Source organism: Homo sapiens, chromosome 8 (assembly GCF_000001405.40).
Source record: "Homo sapiens chromosome 8, GRCh38.p14 Primary Assembly".
NCBI lineage: Eukaryota > Metazoa > Chordata > Mammalia > Primates > Hominidae > Homo > Homo sapiens.
In genome coordinates, this window is record NC_000008.11 from 83,742,949 (window position 1) to 83,768,599 (window position 25,651).

The window sequence follows — 25,651 nt, forward strand, 5'->3', positions numbered from 1 at the left end:
GATTTCTATATATGAGGAAATTTAATCATATCCTATTTACCATTACACTACATATGAATCACATTCCATAACTTGGTTAATAAATTTCACAAATACTGTCTAAAACCAATTCTGACTCTCTTATATTTTCCATAAGTAGATCTATGAATCAGGAACAAACTATCCTACAATGTATGGTCCATAAACTTTCAAGACAAGACTCTCTAAGTTACCCATTCAGTCCCAAATGCTCAAAGTCTAATTCATTTGCCTAAAAGAAATATGGAATTGACTAAATCCTAAGAACAATTGGCTTAACCTAAAATGGAAAAAATAATGACTTAAAGCACTTTAGCAATCTTGCCCCATTTTTATTGTCTTGCTGTCAAATTTAGCCAGTATGTTTTAACACCCTACAAACTGCCTTTTGCAAATTCTTACTATTAAATAAATACATTAATTATAGGTAAAATATATAAAATATGTATAATATGCACATCAGTATAACCCTTACAATGACTGTACAAAGTGCTTGTTTATTGAAACTAGCAATAATATACTATCTCTGTAAATAACATAGAAATATATTCTGTAGCTCTTAGAAAACTGGGAGGAGTTTAGAAAGGAGGAGCTTTCTGCATTCACGGAGTACTCGTTGTATGCGAGGGCACATCACAAACATTTTGTCAAAAATCCTCACAACAGAACTTTGAAATAAGTGATATCATTCCATTAGATAAATAGGACTCAAATTAGATAAATGAGACTCTGGTCAAATATGTTTTCTAATATATCTTAGTTCTTAAACACCACACTATCTTTTGTTAATATGTAAATTTTAATATGAGTGGTTTTAAGAAGAATGTAAGCTTTAGCTCAGTTATCAGCTGCTTTCCGTAAGTCCAATGTATTTTCAAAAGAAAAAAATGGAATACTGCTGTGGCTTAATTTGTAATAAACATTATAATTCTGTACTTCATCTCCAAGAAGAGCAGATGATTTATCTTTCTACATTCCAAGTAAATCACTAGTAATTTCTCATTATACATTGAGATATTTCTACAACTGGATTTTTGTTTTGTTTTAAAATAGAAAATTTCTACCGTAGCATACCTAGGCTTTGGAATATATTTCTCTCTGATCTATTTTTTTCTATTAACTGTTACTATAAATAGAAATCTCACTTTGTGTATTGAGCCAATGAAATAAGAAAAACAAAGCGAAAAGTGTACTCTGAATGCTAAGCCCTTTACTGTTCCATTACAGTTTAGAAACTCTTATTGTTTATTCAGTGGCGATTTACTTTAAAGCTTATAGAACACTGTATTAGACTAAATTCCCTTTGGGATGTTTGTTTTCTACTAATTAAATATTAGTATTTTAGCTCTGCTACAGTTAAGTATTAACAATTCACTTTGAAAATGAAAGTACATCTTTGCATTCCCAAAGAATGAAAACCACTATGAAAGGATTAAAATGTTGTATAAAAAAATCACTGTATAAGGATTAACTACCTTGGCATTAGAGTCTACTTTTCTGCAATAATGCCTACCCCATAGTTCTGCTGCCTCAGCTCTCTCAGCAGACTTTTATTTTAATACTGATTTCCTTCCATTAAAATCATCTATTTACTTACACTTATCTGTCTCTTGCTCTAGAATAAAAGTTCCATTGGGGTGACAACTGTGTTATATATCTATGTGTCATGAACATGCAGCCATAAAACTTTCAGTTACATTGCAGGCACTTGGAAAATATCTGTTATAAGAATGAATGAATGAATGAAAGGTTTTAAACCTGCGAATTAGCACGCTATATAAAACCTATGACTCTTAGTCACTTATACTAAGCAAAAGGGCACATTGAAATAAAACTATTAGACCAATAAAATTGATTAACTTTGACTTTGGTTTCACTACTGCTTTCCCTTTGCCACTGTCTTATTTGTGTCCCCAAGCTGCCTCCACTCTACTTTTAAAGCAATACCAAGCAAGGCAGTGTTCAGGGAATTTTATCCTTTATCACTTATTTCTTATTAAAACTAATGTTCTGAGATCAGTTCCCCTGGCTGCTTACTGTGAATAACAGTTATTTCCTTTCTCTCCTATTTTAGGGTATAGTATTCGGCCCCAGGCTAATCCCAAATTTATGGATATTAAGGAAACTTCTATTCACTTAACTTCCCCCCACCCCGCCCCACCCCCAAGACGGAGTCTCGCTCTGTCATCTGTCACCCAGGCTGGAGTGCAGTGGCATGATCTCAGCTCACTGCAACCTCCACCTCCGGGGTTCCAGCAATTCTCCTGCCTCGGCCTCCTGAGTAGCTGGGATTACAGATGCCCACCACCACACCCAGCTACTTTTTGTATTTTTAGTAGAGACGGGATTTCTCCATGCTCGCCAGACTAGTCACGAACTCCTGACCTCAGGTAATCCACCCACCTTGGCCTACCAAAGTGCTGGGATTACACGCATAAGCCACCACGCCCAAGCTACTCACTTCACTTCTAAGTTACATGACAGGGTCCTAAAGATTTAAGACTATCCTGAAGTGTTATGGTGGAGTGTCTTCACAGAGTTGTTGAATATTTGACATGTCATGACTCAAATTCCCAGGAGGAAAAAAACTTGCTCATGCAGTTTATTAAACAACCATCAAGCAAGTTATCCATGGAAAGGTGGATGAGGCAGTATGTTATGTAAATACTATGTTAAAATAGTATATTCTTTTTATTCTTCACTTGCATTAGGTTTCATTCCACTTGAATATATCTTATCTTTTTTACTTAGATAGTATTTCTACTACATTAGAAATCGCAAGTTGATACTTATTACCCATTCATCTTCTTATCAATTTACTATAATTTGAGTAGTATATTATAAGCCTTCGAAAAGTAATCGTAGTCATTTTTTTGTTTCTTCTGCATACAAAGAAAACAAGGTAGAACATTTGTTAAGAAAGTGGCATCCCAGGGTGAAGATGCAGCTCAAATCAATAAACTCAGCAATACTTTCATGTCTAGAAATTGAGTCTCCTGTGGAGTAGTTTGCCATCAGTTTGTGCATTAAAATCAAGTTCCCTGAAAATTTCTGCAGTTTTCCAAACTTTAATAAAACAAGTTTCTATATTCTGGGAACTGAGTCATTATTGATTATGCTTTGAAAAAAGAATCAAACCAGGAACAGAAGGTCAAGAAATTATCCAATGCAGAGATTTACTGAAGGTTGAAAATGACTTAAATTCTTTTCTAACACAATTTATATCACTTTTTAAAATGCCGCATAGTTCAGATATTTTTATATTGTCTGTATAATCTTTATTTACTATTTTTAATAAAACATTAACTTTTAAGTCTATAGTATGTACAAGGTACTACACTATATATTTGGCAGGGTGAGTTTAATGTGTGTACATGTGTGCATGCACATGTGTGAATGTGTATCATCAATAGCACAATTCAACATTCTGGGAAAGTATATGAAACATGATTTAGCAGTATATTGTTGAGGGAAATACACAGATACTTTTAGCCAATAAAATACAGGAGATTGATAAGAAGAAATGATAGAAAAGGGATGTTAAGGGGACTCCTCTTCATTTACTCAACAGAGCAAGGAAAACATGGACAAGTAGACAAGTAGTGGAGACCAAAAGATAAGGAGAACAAGTAACAAAGATTGAAAGGGAAATTATAGAAGAAAGAGAATCCAAAGGTCATTTCATGAAAGACCTACACTCAATGAAAACCCAGAGATGAGAGTGAGAGGTCAGAAGAATAGAGTATCCCCTAATGTTATTGACTAATCTCCCACTGACCCACTGTAGACTTATTACAATTGGAATAAATAATTTAAAACTAACATAAAGTACAATTGTGTACACTCTTTATTGCTCCATGTGTGTGCTTGATTAGCAAGGCTGTTACATAATGGAAAATAACACTCCACACTCCTAAAGTATGAGCATGATAGTAACTCAAAAATCAACTCATTTACCAGTCAGGAAAATCCTACAAACTACGTTTTTTATTATACAGATGAGACCATTGAAGGACAAGCAGTTTAGAAGCATAAGAAGTTGAACTCAAGTCTTTCTGATTCAAAGGCAGTGCTTTTCAAATTCTATTAAAACTGTATTATTTATTTGTATATAGTTATAGTGTGCATATATATATTATATATGTATGTATATACCTGACTCACTACACAGAGGTTTATAAAAACAGGGATTGTACATACATAGTTGGTCCTTCATCTCCATGAGTTCTGCATCCATAGTTTCAACTAACCGTGGATCAAAAACTCCCAGGGAAAAGAAAAAATTCTCAAAGTTCTGAAAAGCAAACCTTGAATTTGCCATGCACTGAGTACTATGTTGAATCCAAGTGAAAGTAGAGATGTTTAGGCATTATATTAGGTATTATAAGTTACTCAGAGATTATTTAAAGTATATAGGTGGATGTGCTTAGGTTATATGCAAATACTATGCCTTTTTATATAAGGGACTTGAGCATCCTCAAATTTTGGTATCTGTGCACGTCCTGGAACTAATCCCCTATGCATACCAAAGGACAACTGTATTAGGCTTTTTGGGCCTCTATAACAAATTAGCACAAACTTGTTGGCTTAAAACAACAGAAAATTATTCTTTCTTCTGGCCATCGTAATGTGGTTGGAAATAATGTAAAACATGGCCACTTCCAAATACGGTTAAGATAAACAGACTTGCCATACTTCAACATTTTGTCCTACCCAGAAACCTCCTCACTATGGGATCCAAATAGCATCACTAGATTGTGGAAAAGTGTGGGATTTAGAGACAACATTTTTAGATCTGTATAGTAGCCAAGGAGCACTACCTTATACTCATCTAATTGTGACACGAATGAGAGATTTTTGTGTGTGTTCTAAGCTACTGAGATACTGAGATTTATTTATCCACACGTATAACCTCATGTATCTTGATTAAAGAAAATGCTTCAATAAAATAATGCTTTAAATCTCAATAAAATAAACAGGTAAGGAGTCAAAGTCAATAAAATAATGTGTAACCTTACTTGCTAAAAAGATATAACTTTAAGAACTACATGATTCTCGTATAGTATTTGCAAAATTTTTAAATTCACAATAGAATAAACAGGTGAAGAATCAAAGTCAATAAACTAATATGCAACCTTGCTTGTAAAAAAAATTGAGCTTTAAAAATTACATGATTTTCCTGAATATTGGCAAAATTTAAAAAAATACAGTAATCTCTTTTGGTTGAGAGGTTAGTGGGCAAAAATATATCCTTCTAAAAGGAAATTTTACAATAGATATAAACTTGAAAATATATGAACTTTTTTGGGTTTTTAAATTTTTAATAATTTTTTGGGTACATAGTAGGTGTACATATTAGGTTAGCACAAAATTATCATGGTTTTTACCATTGAAAGTATTATTTATGAGGTACATGAGATGGGGTACATTGATACAGGCATGCAATGCATAAAAATCACATTGTGGTAAATGGGTTATTCATCCCTCACATAGTGAATAATAAAATCATATTCAGAAATGTATCATAGGAAATAACTTGATATGCACAAAAAATATGACAAGAATATTGAGTACTACTGCATAGTTACTCGTAGTTAAAACAATTAAAAATATAAATGCCCATTCATAGGAAAACCAATAAGCTATTGTGCATGCACATTGTGGAATGTTATGTATTTGACTTAAAGGTGTAGAATGTTATAATTTTTAAGAAAAGATTAGTAGGTTACAAGATAAAACACAATATTCATATTTTATTAAGATATGTCTGTAAAGTATTAACAGCAATAATTCTGAATTATGCTTCTAAAATAGTTTTCTCTTCTTTATACTTATTTTTATTGCTTAAACATCTTTATATTCTTTTTTATAGCCAGAAATATTAAGGGAAATATTTTATTTTTTTAAGTAGAAATGTTTAATGGTTTAGATAATTAAAAAAATAAATAACACAATATATCATCTTGTCAAATTGACCACAAAGTGGTCAGATTCCTGTGTCATCTAGACATGTTTTACTTCCATAGCAAAACAACTCATTGAAAAGGCAAAAGTTTTACTACCTTAGCCAAGCAACTTTTAACTGACAACGGTAAACATATTTTTACCCTAAGGTTAATAGTACACATAGACTACACATGTTTTGCACATATTATAAATTATTTGCTAAGTTTATGGATATTCTAACTTCTAAAATAAACATTTTAGATGAGTTTCACAGTAGTTGAGACCAAATGTAACTTTTACCTGTTTTAAAACTTTTTAAAAAAAATTTTATCCTCGTCTTTCATAGTCCTAAAAAAAGTTTCACCTGAATAGATTTTATATGTTCATACTGGCTCCTTTGTACAAAGAAGCTCAGTTTAAATATAATTTATTTAAAGCAAACTTCCTGGATCAATATCTAAAGTAGTTCTAGTTAATATTAGTCTCTATAATTCTAATTTAGAAATATTCACAATTTGTATTCTTAAATGCATACATGTTTTTTCTTCCTTGTCTACTAGAATGTAAAATTTATGAGGGCAAGATACATTCCCATCTAGTTTTCCTTTGTATTCCCAACACATAGCACAGTATTTGGCGCACAGTATTTGCATACTCAATGCTTGGGGGGAAACTATTTTAGAGTAGATTTTATCTCTCTTTTTCTTTTTATTTGTATACATTTAAAGGGTACAAGTGCAATTTTGTTACATGGATATATTTCATAGTGGTGAAGTCTAGGCTTTTAGCATATTCCTCACCCCAAAATCTACACTCTATCCACTAAGTAATTTCTCATCACCCATCTTCCTATCAACTCCTTTACCCTTCTGAGTCTCCAATGTCCGTTATTTCACACAGTATTTATAATAAGCACAATTTATTTAGTTCCCACTTAAAAGTGAGATACATGGGCTATTTGACTTTCTGCTGTTTCTGAGTTATTTCACTTAATGGCCTCCATCCACGGTGATTCAAAGGACATCAATATTTTTTATGGCTGAATAGAATTCCATGGAGTATATATGCCACATTTTCTTTATCCAATCATTCATTAATAGACACTTAGGTTGATTCCATAGCTTTGCTCTTGTGAATAATGCTGCAATAAACATACAAGTTCAAATATCTTTTTGATATTATGATTTATGTTCCTTTAGGTAGACGTCCAGTAGTGGGATTGCTGGATTGAGTGAACGGCAGTCCTATTTTTATTTCTTTGAGAAATCTTTATACTAATTTACACTCCCACCAACAGTGTATAGCATTCCCTTTTCTCCACATCCAGCCGAAATTAATTACATTTTTGTATTTTTAACAATAGCCATTCTGACTGATATAAGATGATATCATGATTTTAATTTGCATTTCTCCGATAATTGGTGATATTGCACATTTTTTCATACGCTTGTTGCCCATTTGTATGTCTTCATTTGAAAAGAAAATTTATGTCCTTTGCCTACTTTTTAATGAGGTTATTTGTTTTTGTTGTTGTTGTTGAGTTGTTTGAGTTCTCTGTAAATTCTGGATTGGTCACCTGTCAGATGCATAGTTTGCAAATATCTCTAAAACAATAATTCACAAAACGAAAGCTCAGACAGTATTTCGTCCACTCTTAAATTTATAAAACATTTCATCTAAAAGTCCTCTGCAGCAATTACTTGATGAAAACACATCTCCATGCACTACATTTGCTCAACCTTTGTAGGGCATTTTTCTAGCTTGAGGTTAATTGTTATACCTATTATTATACATTATCTCTAGATCTCCTCACTCCATTCCCAACAAAATTGGACAGTTGTGAACTATCTTTATATAGGCAAGCTGGGTTGCTTTTCCTGTTTCCTTGATTTAAAAGCAAGCTTTATCACAGATGCAAGACATAGAAATATGAGAAAAGATATTTGGCTTCATCTGATTTTTTAAAAGAATGTCTACAAATATTGTTTTGCTCTGAAATCAAAGGTAAGTCAGTTTTAAAGGTTTTGAGATTTTACCTCATAGTCTACCTTTATTTTTCATATAATTAACATTACATCAATGTGGATATATTAATACTTTATATAAAATAATTAGATGAATCTAGGTCTTTACAGATAAATTTGTTCTAACTCTTGTTATTACAATGAAATATACAAAGTAACAAAATAGTTACAGAAAAAAGTGTTTCATTGTACATTATAAAGAAAAACATACCTTTTACATCCCACTTAGGAAAACGACCATATGTCTTCATAATTTAAGAAAAAAAAATCATTTGAATACCAGTTTGTAGTGGTAATAAAAAACACCACAGGGAAGAATTGCAGATTAACAACATCAAATTTTAAAACAAAGATGGGCTGCAAAGTGCTGAATTTTTAATCAAAATATGCTTCTTGCAAATACTAATGGGGAAATAAAATGTTACCTCATGCCAGAAAAGTGAATTATTGTGATCATAATTCAATGGAAATGAAAATTAGGCAATACTAGCTGCACAAGCATATGAAAAATTACTTAGGTGAATTTCAAGAAGATCTCAAGACATGCAGATATTTAAGTTCTTAAAATAAATGTAAAATATAAACATTAAACATTAGGATCTGTGTATATTCATTCACTTTTTAAAAATGAACCAGATCATAAGGGCAGTGGTTTCATCTGATTTAGTCTTGTTACATATGGCTAATCTGATTTAGTCTTGTTACAGATTCCTACATATGGCTAAATCATCTGATTTAGTCTTGTTATAGATTCCTACATAAGATAGTATCTTCTCCTGTTTTCTCCTATGATAAAGTACTTTTGAAGGCCTTTCATTAGCCTGTTTTTAACACAGTCCTTCAATTAATGCTCATCACTGATTTTTTTTCAGTTCTCAAGTTTGTTATTGTTTCTGCATAAAATATAATATCACTTACAAATTAAAAACATTACTAAATTACTTAGGTTTATAATTTTTTATTTTATAATTATTGTCAATACAAGAGATTCTGATATTAAAAAATGATTCAAGACAGAAATTTAATATATATAACATACAAGATACAAAAATTGGGTCTGCAATATATTTTCAAATTCCATTAAGAAATAAACATGCAGAGTGTTCACTAGAATCTTCTCCTGGGTCCCAAAATAAAACTTTTAATAGTTACCAAAATATTAAGATTTCTAGGAAGTCTATCTATAATGCCTATAATAAGGTACACACCAAATTTATTTTTACTGAATTTAAGTTATATAATTTAAACCTGAATCAGTCTTCTTAGCCTATAATGACACCACTGTACATTTACCCAATTGCTCAAACAAAAGACCACAGTCATTTTCAATTATTTTCTTTTCTTCTTTGACACATGCCATCCACCAATAATTCTGGTTGACTTTATCAAAAAATAAAAAGTAAAAAATCTGACCACCCATCACTATTTACACTTTTTCCGCATCATTCCAGACCAACACTATTTTTCACATGCCAAACAGACACAACATCCTAACTGGTCTCTCTGCTTTCAGGTTTATCATATTACAACCCACACTCCAAACAACAACATGATTTTTTTTAAAAAAAGCATAATATCATTTCCATTATTAAAACATTTATTTCAATAATTTGGTTTACAAATTATAATAAATTCAAATTTCTTATAAGTTTCCTACCAAACTCAACATAACCTGGTGACTACTTTTCTCTCCAGCTTTACGTCTTATTACTTTTCCCTTTTCCATTAATATCTTCCAGCTATGTGTGCCTTCTTTCTAGTCTTTAAGTATCATTGCCTTTGTACCTGTTATACCCTTTATACTACAGAGGCAGTTCTCTGGTGTTTTGCATAGTTCCCTTTGTATGGCTTATATCTCAGCTCAAAGTCACCTCTGCACTGTAGTTTTCCTGACCACCCTAATTAAAGTATCTCTAATGGCATCCATCATATCTACTCATTTTGTAAAACACTTATTGCAGCCTGAAAGAGTGATACTTTTGTTTTCATGTTTACTGTATCTCTCCCCTCAGTAAAAGATAATCTCCATGAGGGCAGAAGTCTTGCATGGTTTATCACTCTATATCTTGCACTTAAAACAGTTTGGTGAATTGTAAGCATTCAATAGCTGCCTGTATAGAGGGTTTGCTAACACAAGCATCTTACATACTAATGAGAATTTCTATATGATTAGTGAATGCGTAACTTGAGACTATTATTTTTGTGGAAATGTATTTATACAGGGAAGCAGTTTTTGTGTCAATCTAGAGATATCTGTGCACAACACCTCTCAGTGTTTAGGAATCAGATTATATTTATAATTAATATGTGTAGAATTGCCCTTAAATTTACTTTATTTTAGCAAACACACTGATTTTGTTTTATAATTTATTGGGTTTTATTATCCTACTTTATGTCTTCTCCAGGAGTCAAAACAATGTCACATTCAATGATAGCATGTTACTACTAGTCACAAACTCAATATAGACACAAAGAATGCCTACTTGCTTGTGACTTTCTGTTTTAATAAACAGACTCTTGTTTTTAACTGCAATCAAGAGGAAAAATAGGCCATATCTTAAAGCTAAAAGAAAAATGTATTAATATTTCATTGAGGCACACTCATTTCCTGGATGGGAGATTAAGGGAACAGTAGTTTGCAATCTAATCTGATGCACATTTCTGGGCAACAATAAGAAAAGTTATTAAAGTGAATGCAAAGTGTAGGTTGATCCTCACAGTGACTTATCTTCCTAATAACAAAACAATAAAAGCTCCACACTGATACTCTCAGAAAAACTCAATACCCCCATTTGCATCTCTAGTGTCTACTTATATGGATGAGCATTAATATTTGACCTTGAGCTACTGAGTTTGCTGTTTTAATTTCCTCTTTTGCAAAATCCACTAACTGTTAGGCATTACAAATGGCAATAAGTATAATCAGCCGGACTCAGAAAAATCTACTCTCTACATAGTGGATGGGAGAAAAGGAAAGGAAATAAAATAGAGGGAAAGGAGGCCAAAACAATAGCACACACAAAAAAAATAGAAATACAAAGGAAAAATCATGGTGACAATGAATCAGAGATTGCATTGTGGTAAGCAAAATCAGATCATTATACATATAACTACATTCTTCTCTTCAATGTTTAAAGTGTCATTTAAAGAAAATTGGATTCAAAAAGGCTTCATAAATCCTGTTAAATATTATTCATTCAACAAAAATTTACATATTATGTCCATTGTTCCAGATTGTAGGGACACCATGGTAAACAGACAAGGTCCCTGTAATTTATGATCCAATGGGAGGAGATAAATAAAAACAAGCAAAAATAAATTAAAATTATTGATAATGAGCACTCATAAAAAAGAATAAATATGTAAAATAGAATGATGTGTTAGAGTGTTGAATATATAATTATTAGACAGGGCAGTCAGGACAATGATCTAAGGAAATGACATTTCCACAAATATCTGAATTATAAAATAGTGTCAGCCAAAGAAGCGTCAGAGAAGAATTAAGCAAACAATGATAATTTTTTTAACTTCTTGAAGTACTTGGTAGTTGCTTTAAAGCTAATTGTGTAATTGTGTTTTCTACATCATGCGTGCTCATAATCTAATATAAACAATACCAATGTGACTAAATAAAAACAATTTGGAATGTGAAATCATCACAACATAGATTGTTTGATGATAACTTAGATGTCTGTATTCGTTTGGTTGAGTATTGATTTTGTCAATTATTTTAAGAGTCTTAATAATTTAAATTGCTGAGTGCCTAGAAGATGCTAGAGTAGGAATATTTTGAATTCGTAGGCCAGTCAAACTTAGTTTCATATTCCAGTTTCGCAGGCTTTTAAGATGTGTATGACCTTGGGGACATTATGCCACATGTCTGCACCTCAGTTTCTTTGTCCATAAAATGTGCATAATATAAATATTTCATAAGATAGTTGTTAAACTTAAATGAGATAATTAGGCAAAAATATAGTTACCCTCGAACTATACAGGTTTGAAGGTCTACTTATATGCAGATTTTCTTCTGCCTCTGCCACTCCTGAGACAGCAAGAACAACCTCTCTTCTTCCTCCTCCTCTTCCTCTTCAGCCTATAAATTTGAGGACAAGGATGAAGTCCTTTATGATGACCTACTTTCACTTAATGAATCGTAAATATATATTCTTTTGCTTATGATTTTTCTTAATAACATTTTCTTTTCTCTAGCTTACTTTATTGTAGGAATACAGAATATAAATGCATATAACACAAAAATATATGTTAATTGACAATTTCTGTTATTAGTAAGGCTTCTGGTCAACTGCAGGCTATTAGTTTGCATTTGGGGGAGTCAAAAGGTATATGTTCAGTTTGTATTGTGCGAGGGACCAGTACCCATACACCGCTGTTTGTTCAAGGGCCAACTCTATAGTGCATAACGTGTAGTAGCTCTAAAAAAATTTTGTGTTCATGCTACTCCCTTTATGCACTACTCATGCAATTAAATATAACTATACAGATTTTTAAGAAAAATATCTAATATTTGATAGCACAACAGGGTACTATAGTCAACAAAAATTTATTGTACATTTTAAAATAACTAAGAGTATAATTAAAATGTTTGTAACACAAATAAATTATACATGTTTGAAATGACAGATATCCTATTTACCCTGATACGGTCATTACACCTTGTATGCCTGTATCAAAATGTCTCATGTACTTCATATATATATATATATATATATGTCATATATATAATACACATATACATACACATTATGTACCCATAAACATTACATTTTTAAAACAATTTTAAAAAGAATATCATGTCATATATATAAAGGAAAATGGACTTTAGAAATAAATAGATTTGAACCTAAGATCACTCAGCTTACCATTAGCTGAGCAAACTTCTATAATATCACCTTCTTCTCTGAAACTCAATGTAGACACGAAGGTTTTCGTTAGATTAAATCAGAAAATGTATTTAGAGTACCTAACACATAACAATTGTTTAAAATCTATGATAGCTTTATGCAACAAAATTTATTATAATTATGCCTACAATTATCTAGACTACTTTCAAAATTCAGACATCAACTTTATCCCAAAAAGGAGATTAAAAATCCATTTTAAGTTTTTGTGAAGAACCACCAATTAAAAATGTAGTTGCAAGTTTCACTAGACTAGTTAGTTTGGCTTAGGCTACCTTTAATTTTTTTATATATCTTTTAATATATTTTTAATATATGTGTATATTAAATATATATTATATTAATATAATATATAATATATATTTATTTAAATATATTAAATATATCATGTTTAATATATTTATATAAATATATTAAATATATTATGTTTAATATATTTATATTTATACAATATATAATACATTTATATTATATTATAAATGTATATATACACATTGTATATTTATTATATTAATTTATTATATAATAAATATATAATAAATATATTAATATATATTATATATACAATTTATTTTATATAAATATATAATATATAATTTATATGTTATATAAATTATACTGAATATATTTATATTATATATTATGTTTTATATATATTTACATATTTAATGTATAATATATATTTAATATATTTTTAATAATTAAAATACAGTAATACTAAAATAGGAAATCTATGTCTGTGGACTGTAGCGCTAAGTTGTTCCCTATTCACTAAGATTCTCAGTTTTAACTAGACATGTAGGTTGGTTGAATAAATTAGATATAACAAATGTCATAGGCTTTGGGAATAGATACCCTGGTTCATATTTTAGCATTATCACTTTTTACCCTTGTGATCTTAGATAAGCAGCATTACTTCTCTAAGCCTGCTTCCTAAAATAGAAATGAAAAGCATAAAAGAAACTACTTTTTTAAACTTATTTTGAAAAGCAAATGAGAGGCCAGACGCAGTGGCTCACGCCTGTAATCCCAGCACTTTGAGAGGCCAAGGCGGGTGGATTACATGAGGTCAGGAATTCGAGACCAGCCTGGCCAACATGGTGAAACCCTGTCTCTACTAAACATGCAAAAATTAGCCGGGGTGATAGCAGGCACCTGTAATCCCAGCTACTCGGGAGGCTGAGGCAGCAGAATTGCTTGAACCCAGGAGGCAGAGGTTGCACTGAGCCGAGGACGTGCCATTGCACTCCAGCCTGGGCTACAAGAGCGAAACTCCATCTCAAAAGAAAAAAATAAAAAAAGCAAATGAGATAGTGTAGTAAAATAATTAATTCAGTGTTTGTAATATTGTATAAGTGTAACAAGTGATCATTATTATCATCATTATTTATCATTATTACAGTTATTACTAATACTATTATTATGAGTATAGTAAATTTTTCCTTTCTTCAGCATCTGGTAGAAATCTATAATAAAAATTTACCTGGCATTTTCTATAAAGATATATGAAATGAATACAAGTATTTTATTTTGTACTTGATTCTAAACTGTACATATCCATATATTACTAAATAAAGATGAGGCGCTTCAATGGACATTTTCTACGTGCTACGTACTATGTTAAAGAGGTAGTGGTGGCCGGGCGCAGTGGCTCACATCTGTAATCCCAGGACTTTCGGAGGCCAAGGCGGGTGGATCACGAGGTCAGGAGATTGAGACCATCCTGGCTAACACAGTGAAACCTCGTCTCTACTAAAAATAAAACAAAAAAAAAATTAGCCAGGTGTGGTGGCGGGCGCCTGTAGTCCCAGCTACTCCGGAGGCTGAGGCAGGAGAATGGCGTGAACCCGGGAGGCGGAGCTTGCAGTGAACTGAGATTGCGCCACTGCACACTCCAGCCTGGATGACAGAGCGAGACTCCTGTATCAAAAAAAAAAAAAAAAAAAAAAAAAAAAAAGAAGTAGTGCTTCCACTGTGAAAGTCATTACACTATACAAAATAAAGCTCCTTAATATGATATTGCTTACTTGATTACCAGAATAGTAAAAGAAAATATCATCAGTAGAAAAATAAAATGCGATCCCTATTTTCAATATTGGGATGGATTATGTACTTTGATTGATTCTCCTGCTGTGAACAGCTAAAAACAATGCGTGAAGTTTAAATCAATGGGTAAAATAGAGCAAAAGAAATATATGCATGTGCTTGCATGCACAAACAACTCTTAAAATGTTGATGAGTATTGAGCTGCCAAGGAATTAAAGAATCATCAGAGGCAAAAATAAATACATAAAAATGAAAAGCGAGAGAAATATATGACACTAAAATTGGCATTCACCTGTATTGCATTTGATAGACTCCAGTGACCCTGAGCATTTAAATTTTTTTGTTCATAAAATCCTGGTGAAATCTGAGGCAGGAGTTAAAAAATAGACCAAGTATAAGAAAACAAGTTGTCATTGTGGCTGTCTGCTTTGTATTGCTATAACAGAAAACCATAGACTAGCTAATTTATAAAGAAATAAATTATTTCTCGCAGGTCTAGAGCCTGGGAAAACTAATATCAAGGTGCTGACATTTTATGTGGGACTTCTTGCTCTGTCATCACATCACAGAAAGCAGAAAGACAAGAGAACACAAGCTCAAGAGAGGGTAGAAAGCAGCTGAACTCATTTTTTTAAAATCAGGAACCCACTGCTGCAATAATGTCATTAATCCATTCATGAGGGTAGAGGCCCTCATAGCCAAATGGCCTTCTAGAGGTTTCATCTCTCAAGACTACTGCAGTGAGGATTAAGTTTCCAACACAGGAATTGGACCCACAACTGACTTAAGAAATTACAATTAGGAACACAAAATTATATATATGTACGTGTGTGTGTGCACGCGCCTGTGTGTGTGTATATATGACATTTAAAGAAAGTACATGGGGAGTTAAAATAGGATTAAGAATTGAGATATGTAAAATCTTCAGATTTAGAAAAATGCGTGTAAAACTTGTAGAAATGAGACTGGGTGCGGTGGTTCACGCCTGTAATCCCAGCACTTTGGGAGGCCAAGGCGGGTGGATGATGAAGTAGAGAGTAGAACAGTGGTTACCCGAAACTGGGGTGAGGATGTAGAAGAGAGCATGGGGAGAGGGTGGTCAACAGGTACAAAGTTACAATTAAATAGGAATAATTTCTAGTGTTCAATTTCACAGTAGGGTGACTATGGTTAACAGTAGGGTGACTATGGTTAACAGCAAGGTTTTGTATATTACAAAATAGCTAGAAGAGAACTTTTAAATGTTTTCATCACACAAAAAAATGATAAATGCAGAAGGTGATAAATATATTTACCTTGATTTAATTGTTATACAACATATATATGTATCAAAATATCTAATTGTACACTATATGTAAAATTACAATGTGTCAAAAGCAGAATATGGGGCAGATTATATTACCAACTACATTTTAAGCTGGAGAAAAATTAAACAGCAAAATTTATAGGGGTCTTACTAGATGCCAAAAATATGCTAAGTATTTTTTCAAATGTTAATTTATGTAAAACTTCAAAACAATCATCTGGAGATATAATTATTTTCTCCATTTTCTGGATGAGAAAACTGACACTTGGCTAATTTAAATAACTTGATCACTTTTACATAGTGGCAAAGCTGGAAATTTATATTCTTAAAACCTAAAATGCACTGCCTCTTACAACTTAATATTTAAAGTAATAAGAATATTTTCTAAGATTAGAATAATAGTTACAAAATACAGCCAGGATTCAAAAGCAACCTTCTGACACCAAAGCAGTATTGCCTCTGTATTTCATCTCTTCATTTTCTGTCAATGGTAATTCATTGTTGATCTCATCTTGTTTTATGACTGGCTCCTAGGTTTATATTTGTAGCCCAAACATTTCCCTTAAAATTTAAACACATATCCAACTACCTATCAAGAATAAATTGGATTCTACTTTACATTTCATAGAACTATATATGTTCAAGTAGATGTACTTGGATATTACATCTACTATTCTAGAATAGATAGTATATCTACTATCCTACAGTAGATAGTTCATCTACTATCCTATAATAGGACGTACTTAGTATATATCCAAGTAGATATATATGATATCTAAAAATCTTATTTAATTTACTAGTTGTAAAGGATACATATAAAGATAAATAATGGAAATACTAGTTGAAGCTTCACCTCTTGATAGCTTTGGAATTGTGTTAAACAAAGCATTTAAACTTGCTGAACATCAGTTTTTTCATTTGTAAAATGGGACTAAAATAGTATCTATCTCATAATATTATTATGTGGCTCAAGTAGATTAATATATATAAAAACCAAAAGAGTGTATTTTAAGCCTTGAACAGAGAGCAACATAAAGACAGAGAAAGTTAAAAAAGAAGAGAGAAAGAGAGGAAACAAAAAACAGAGAAAGAAGCCACAAGGAGAGAAGTAAGGGGTGTTTTGATTTGAATTAGGGGTTTCAATCCAATGAGTTCAGGCAATTTGTTAGATAATATAATTGTTATGAACATTTGTGTTTCATGGAATGAATGTGATGAGCAGAAGTGCCCTTTAAGAAGTTTAATATGGATGCCATGTAGATGCCACATAAAGAAGAACAGGAGCCAGATGGACCTAGAGTTGTGGAGTGTATGCTTAGCTCTATAGTAGATACATAGTGGAAATAATGAAAGGGAAGAAGACGGACTTGTATGATGTTTGCAGGCAGAGAGGTGGTCAATGTTTTGATCTGCAATTTATGTTATAGTGGCTGCAGCTTGGTGTTGCCAGAGCCTCTCTGTCCAATACTACATCTGTCTACTTGGACCTAAGTCCACCTGGTAGTGCTTACTGCCTTTCTCCCCTCCCTCAACAGCAGCCTTGCCCAGTCTTTTTAAGCCCTACTACCAAACATGGAACGGGGTCAGTAAAGGATTTTTTCATTTTCCTTGAAACATTTTTTCCTCTTTCAAAACTGTAACCTTGGATCTGATCTGAGAAAAGATAAATCTGTGGAGTGAGAGGAAATTGCACGACAGGAGGCTGTCGACAAACATATTATAGACAGCCTAAGAAGAAAACACTAGCTCTAGGATCAGGAATCTCAGTTGCCTTTTCTCTCTACTTATGATAGATGCAGAGGGAGAAGTGCCAGATACAATAAATTTGCGAAGACAGGAATTTCTAAATATGCTGCTGAGGTGAGGTAACTACAGCAAGTAATTCATCGATTCTCTCCTGTGTTCTCTTGGTACCCAGTTCAGTTTCCCTCTGAGCAACCTTAATCTTAGATCTTTTTAAGAGCTGCCTCATCCTAGCACAAATAATCAGAAGAGCAGCAGGTAAAAAGTCCATTCAGCGGGGAGTCACAGTTCTCCTTCCTATCCCTTCAAACACATACCTAATTCACAACACAACCTGGCCACAGTTGTGGCATGGGGACCGGAAAGAGAAAACTAAATAAATTTTTTAAAAAAGATTATAAAAGGAATAATGCCAAACAGCATGGAGTCTCTGTGAGAGGAAATGTGCTTTTAAGTGTTAGTGTGTTTTAAATGGCTTGGAGTGATACGGGAGGGGAAGGGAAGACTTGAGGGCAAAACGTCCTAATGTCCAGTTGCCTAAAAAAGTACCTACAAGGGTGGTGAAAATTAGTGGCTAAACATTTCTAATTGTTTCCATCTACGGCTATACCACCCCGAATGCATCTGATCTCAACTAATTGCTTCAGTGACAACTTAGTGCCAAATTGATCATAATGTTCTGGGCATTCTAGATGCAGAAGCTTAAGGAATATGGCACTCTGCTCATCCTGAGAAGGTTTAAATTGCAGCAGAGGGAAATAACAGAATGCCTTCAACAGGTTTACTAAACCCACTGAAAAACAAAACACACAAAAAAATGAAGTCTCGTTCATATAAAACCTTTTACCCACCATGAGAACTGAGCATTTCAACATTTTATGACATGTCCTGCTTTCAACACCATTGATACTATACTAATATGCTAATTAAAGATGCAGAGTATGATTTGTCCTGATTTTCATCTGCCCTGATTCTGAATATTCTGAATGAGACTAGAGTCTATAATATTCACACCCTATGGAAGGAGGATAGATAAATATGATTAAGAAATGGTCCCAAGCTATGGTGGGGGAAAAAGGGTAGACAGGCAAGGTAAGTGGCAAGACCCAAACAGATGGCTCTCCACCTTCATCCCAGCCAAATTCTGTCATCTTTTATGTCCTTTGTGATATCCTTAGTATTTCCCATGTAATATCCTTATTATTTCCCATGTTTGTAATATCCTTCTTGTAATATCCTTGTAATATCCTTATTATTTCCCATGTTTGCTTTTCTCTCTGATTTTTTGTCAAAGATCCCATACCACTTGGTACTTTTATGACATTGTGCTACGATTGGAAGATACTGATATAGAAGATATGTAAACCATAGTCTTAGATCTAGGAAATTACTATCATAAGATTACTAATGATAATGATAGTAATTAATATCTGCTGAGGACTCACTATGTACTAAATATTAGGGCTAATCACTTCACATACATTACAGTACTTAATGTAAAAAGGTATACATATACATTTATACATAATATATATAATTAGATATAAATTATGAAGAGGTATAATTATATAAATTATAATTATGTAATTATATAAATATATAATTATATATAATACATATCATATGTAATTTATATATAAACACATATATAACTTATATTAGTAAGCTTATATATACAAACTAAGAACTATTATTGTTATTATCTTCATTATGTAAACAAGCTTTTAATGATAGTTCTAGGGGGTGAATAACTGGTGAAACCAACATTTAAACCTGAGCAGTTGGACTTCATGTTTTAAACACTTTGAAATTCTGCTTGTTCAAGTGAATATAATCTCTACTTTGCCTTAATATTGGACCATTAAAGTTTTTACAAATCACGTTGGTAATAAGGGTAGATGACTCAAAGATAAATGCCAACATTTTTATCCCCACACCAGCCCTCTCTCCTCCCCCAAAATGGTGGCTAATGGTGTGGTAGTAGTATTTAGTATTTTAATATTTTATATTACTTAATTTTCTCCTTACAACAAATCTATGAATTAAGCAATATTATCAAAATTATCCTGAAACAGAAACTAAGTACTCAGTATCAGATATTAAAAGTATTTTATAAAACAATGATATTACTTCAAGAAGTGCTCGTGAGCTTCTCTCTTGAATTACTTTCTCCAAATCATGATAACTTTTATCAAGGTATTTCAATGGATTATAATTGATTTGTTGTTCCAACAATCATAGAAACAAATATCAGCCCTTTGTATCAGGGAAGTTCTATGACTTCACTGATTACAATTTGAAAAACATGAGATTGCAATCTCTAATAACTCTCCTGTTATTTTACTATCTGTATTCTATTTTAATTCATATTTTAATCATCTGCATTCTAAAGTTTACCTTTTGATCACATTGTAACTTGATGGATGTAACAAGAAAATAAAATATATTGTGTTAGAAACCAAAAGGAAGTCCTCTAATGCCATACTACCTACCACTGGGTCTATAGCAGGCAACTTTTAAGATTGCCTCCAGATGCCCCTGTCTCCTGGTATTCATGTCCTGCTTAATCCTCTAGCACTCCTAAACAATAAAGTGATGGGATGTCACTTATATGATTGGATCATATAACATAATGACCTTCCTCTTGCTAGCAAACTCTCTTATTTGCTGTCATTAATGAAGTAAGCCCACATGTTAGTGAGGCCTCCATAAAAAGAATCTGAGGAGAGCCTCCAGCCAATGTCCACTATAAACTGAAATCCTCATTCCAAGAAAAATAAGGAACTTCCCTTAAATGGCCCTTAAGGAACTGCAGTTTTGTCAATAACCACCCACATGAGCTTGGCAGTGATTCTTCCCCAGTCTAGATTTCAGACAAGACCTCAGCTCTGCCCAACCTTTAATTTCAACATCTGTGAGAAGCCATGAAGATGCAGAACCACCTTAGCTCTGTCTTGATGTCTAACTAGAAACTATGAGGCAAACATAGTTTGTTTCAAGCAACTAAGTTTGTGATAATTTGATATTCAGCAATAGACAACTAGCACAGAGACTAAACCAAGAACATTACCATCCTGATTTTCTTCCAGTTTCATTATGCCAGGGAAGTGTTAGAAGGAATTGAGTTCCACAGGCCTGGGTTAACAAGCACAAGCCGTTTTACAAGAAAGCTGTTCTAATGGAGAGACAAACCAATAATCAAAATAACTCATGACATAACTGAGAAAGTCCAAGTTCTACATGCATAATAAATAAATAAACAAGTAAATAAATCAATACATAAATTTAGGAGGTACCCGTGAGGACCAAGGCTCTAGAGTCCCTGGAGGTTCACTGAAAATCATTGACGTTTATCAAATTGATTCATAGGAAAAAAGGACTACAAGTTTATTTTGCATGTATACATGGGACGCTTCAGAATAAAGACCCAACATCGCAGTGATGCACTGAAACTCACATACCATCTTGAGGTTGTAGAAAGAATGTAGGCTCAGAGCATGGCCAAATAGCTTATGTTGCTAAACCAGGTATGAGTGGCAAGACAGGTTATAAGATGCAGAAAGGAAGAAGCTTGCCTAGCAAAGTTGGCCTTGATATGTAGATGAAGTCTCATAGGTAGCAGCTCTCAGAGAGAATAGATGGTAAATATCTCTTTTCAGACCTTTAAAGGTGTCAGATTCTGGACAGATCTCTCCTAGATTCTGGAAAAGCCTAGAAAGGGAAGACTTGGCTGCATTAATGGAGATTCTCTATGAATGCAAATTTCCCACACAAAAGACAGCTTTGCAGGGCCACCTCAATCTGCTAGCCCTGTGGTAGCCACTTCAAAATATGTCAGAGAAATATTTGGGGGTAAAATATTTTTATATTCTTCATAATTATAGGGAAAATTATTATTTTGTCAAGATACATCATTTATTCCATACTTTGTGATTACTACTGAAGCAGTTCCATCTTTTTGAAGGCTACTGACTATAAAATTGTCTGAGGAACTTGAATACCAGCTGGCTAAGTTCTGGTTCAGTAAGACCATATATTAAATGTTTTATTTTACAAAATTGTTCTTTGATAACCGTGGTTTATGTCACTCATAATGCCCCCATCATCATCCATGAAGATGAACAGGTCCAAAGTTCCCTGAAACAAATTCCTGGAAAGGCAAGCCAAACTCCAGGTGACGCTTCTTCAATGGAAGGACCTGCACAATGGGACTGTCAAAGTAAAATTACAATGGACAAAATTACATACGCAAAGAAATCTTTAGCTAAGTGCCTTGCAATAGGGTGGAGAGGCCAGAACTGAAATCTGAACTCAGTTCTGCTAAAATTAAGGGTGGGAAAAGTTTTAATTTCTGAGGTGAGAAGCCATGTGTTTGCTAATTGTTTTTACTTAAAAAAGAAGGAAACTTTCTCCTATTTAATGGCAGAAGGTAGTTTTACATCTTGGAGCAAGGAATCCCCCACCCCCTACAATTAGGTACCTACTCTTTCACAGAGACTGGGAGATAAGGGTATTGTCTTCCTTAATTATTACATTTCAAAGAGATGGCTTCCAGGTCATTGAAAAATACCTCACTGGATCATAAAACTAGCAGGGTGGGTGAGGGAGCGGCTAGAAAGATTTACATTTCAAAGAGACTGAGAAAAAAGTTACATTTTCTTCTCAATTAAATCCTCTAAGATAAGGGTGGTTAGAGGCCTAGAGTCAGGAAGAAGCCTGTCCAAATTTAGTCAAGCTGAGAGGAACACTGAAACCACTTTAGTCAAACCTCAGAAGGAGGTCACTTAAAGTTGTAGGAAACAGCTTTTCCCACTCCTTACGGTGTCACATGCCATGAGTATTGTAGATTCCAGGACTCAACATTAGGCAATTAGGAAAAGAAGAGGCTTCTTAGGTACATGGAATTAAGAATGGAGGAGTCTGTATGTCTGTAATACATTATAAATGACCACTTTTGAACTATAACTTGATGGCATATGGTTGTTTAGAAATGATGAAGGGAATGTTATCAATGACTCAACAGAAATAAAAATAACCATTAGAAACTACTATGAACACCTCCATGCAAACAAACTAGAAAACCTAGAAGAGATGGATAATTTCCTGGATGCATACACTCTCCCAAGACTGAACAAGGAAGAAATTAATGTCCTGAACAGACCAATAATAAGCTCTGAAATTGAATCAGTGATAAAGAACCTAACAACCAAAAAAAAAAAAAAAAAACAAAAAACCCAGGACCTGATGATTTCACAGATTAATTCTACCAGATGCACAAAGAAGAGCTGGTAACCTTTCCTATATAAACTATTCAAAAAAAAAAAAAAAAAAGAGGAGGAAACACTCCTCCCCAACTCATTATCTGAGGCCAGCATCATCCTGATACCAAAATCTGACAGAGACACACACACACACACACACACACACACACACATACACACCATACACACTTCAAGGCCAATATCCTTGATAAACACTGATGCAGAAATCATCAACAAAATACTTACAAACCAAATCTAGCAGCACATAAAAAGCTAATCCTCCATAACCAAGTAGGCTTCATCCCCAGGATGCAAGGTTGGTTTGACATACACAAATCAAAAAATGTGATTTATTATATAAACAAAACTAATGACAAAAACATGACTATCTCAATAGATGTGGAAAAGGCTTTGATAAAATTCAACACTCCATGTTAAAAACTATCAATAAACTAGGTACTGAAGGAACATACCTCAGAATAATAAGAGCCACCTATGACAATCCCATAGCCAGCTTATATACTGAATGAGCAAAAGCTGGAAGCATTCCTATTGAAAACTGGCACAAGACAAGAATGCCCTCATTCACCACTCTTATTCAACATAGTATTGGAAGTCCTACCAAGAGCAACCAGGCAAGAGAAAGAAATAAAATGCATCCAAATAATAAGAGAGGAAATAAAACTATCTCTGTTTGCAGGTAACATGATTGATTCTATATCTAGAAAACCCCATAATCTTGGCCAAAAAGCTCCTTAATCTGACACACCACTTCATTAAAGTGTCAGATACAAAATTAATGTAGAAAAATTACTGGCATTCCTACACCAAAAATATCCAAGCCAAGAGCCAAATGAGAAAGGTAATCCCATTCACAATTGCCACAGAAAGAATAAAATACCTAGAAATACAGCTAACAGCAAGGTGAAAGATCTCTACAATGAGAATTACAAAATATTGCTAAAAGAAATTAGAGGAGACACAACCAAATGGAAAAACATCTCTTGGTCATGCTCATGGATAGGAAAAATCAATATCATTAAAATGGTTATACTGCCCAAAGCAGTTTATAGATTCAATGCTATTCCTATCAAACTACCAACAACATTCTTCACAGAACCAGAAAATCTATTTTAAATTCATATGAAACCAAAAAACAGCTCAAGGCAATCCTAAATAAAAAGAACAAAGCTGATGGTGTCATGTTACCTGTCTTCAAACTATACTATTGGGCTACAGTACCCAAAATGGCATGGTATGGTACAAAAACAGACACATAGGTCAATGGAACAGAATAGAGAAACCCAGAACTAAGGCCACATACCTATGACCACCTGATCTTGAACAAAAACCAGCAATGGGGAAAAGACTCTCTAGGGAATAAATTGTCATCCTTGGGTTGTTGTTTTTCCAGCTGGAAGCCTCTGTGGCCAGTGGCCCCTTTGCCTACGTTTTGCTTGGGCCCACTAGGTTCATTCTGCCCACTCAGCCTGGCACACTGTCCTCGGCTCATGCTACCGGCCCAGATTCCATGTCTGCCAAGGGCAAGCCAGGCACAGGGTGGCGAAGGGTGTGTGAGTGAGTGTTGGGTCTGGCCACTGTGAACAGGCAGGCACGTTGACTGCTGTGGCAGGGTAGGCAGCTCCAGGTGTCGGCACAGGTGCAGGTTCCATGCAAGTTTGCGGCTGGATCAGATGCATCACAAGCAGTAGCTTCATTTGTGGACCTGGGTCTGGTCAAGGGGAATATGGTGGTGCCCAGAAGCTTGAAGGCAGCAGAAACCACAGAGCCCCAAAGAGGGTGTCACAGCTCTGGCTCAAGGAGCCCCTAGGTCTGGGCTCCTGGAAGGGCCATAGCTCTTCTCTCCTCTTTTCTCTCCTTCCCATCACCTGCAATGTGGCAAGTGGGAGGCATGTTTTAGCCCTGTTGTGTTACAGCTCTTTCAACCTCACCATTCATGGGGTCCTGAGTTATTGTTCCACATCCAGGAAGGATGAGGTATGTGGACAACTGGAGAGTGAGCAAGGCAAAGAGGTACTTTTTTGAGGGACGGAACAGCTTTCAGGAGACCCACAGTGGGTAGCTCCTATCCATAGACAGCCCATCCCAACATCTCTGCAGCCCTCAGCAGGAAGAAGACCCAGAATGGGTAGCTCCTATCCACAGACAGGCCATCCAAACATCTCTGCAGCCCTCAGCGGGGAGAAGACCCAGAGTGGGTAGCTACTATCCACAGGCAGGTTGTCCTGTCATCTCTGCAGCCCTCAGTGGAGAGAAGAGCTAGAGTGGGTAGCTCCTATCCACAGGCAGGTCATCCCATTATCTCTGCAGCCTTCAGTGGAGACAAGACCTGGAGTGGGTTGCTCCTATTCACAGGCAGGTCATCCT

General features: G+C 34.0%; 2 annotated features.

The window, feature by feature from the left end:
• Positions 24,376 to 24,877: an enhancer, noted in NCBI's record as "H3K4me1 hESC enhancer chr8:84679559-84680060 (GRCh37/hg19 assembly coordinates)". NCBI's record gives its function as "activates a minimal SCP1, AML or CMV promoter by ChIP-STARR-seq in primed H9 embryonic stem cells {active_cell/tissue: H9 hESC(primed)}" and the evidence as "EXISTENCE:reporter gene assay evidence [ECO:0000049][PMID:30033119]".
• Positions 24,878 to 25,377: an enhancer, noted in NCBI's record as "H3K4me1 hESC enhancer chr8:84680061-84680560 (GRCh37/hg19 assembly coordinates)". NCBI's record gives its function as "activates a minimal SCP1, AML or CMV promoter by ChIP-STARR-seq in naive and primed H9 embryonic stem cells {active_cell/tissue: H9 hESC(naive and primed)}" and the evidence as "EXISTENCE:reporter gene assay evidence [ECO:0000049][PMID:30033119]".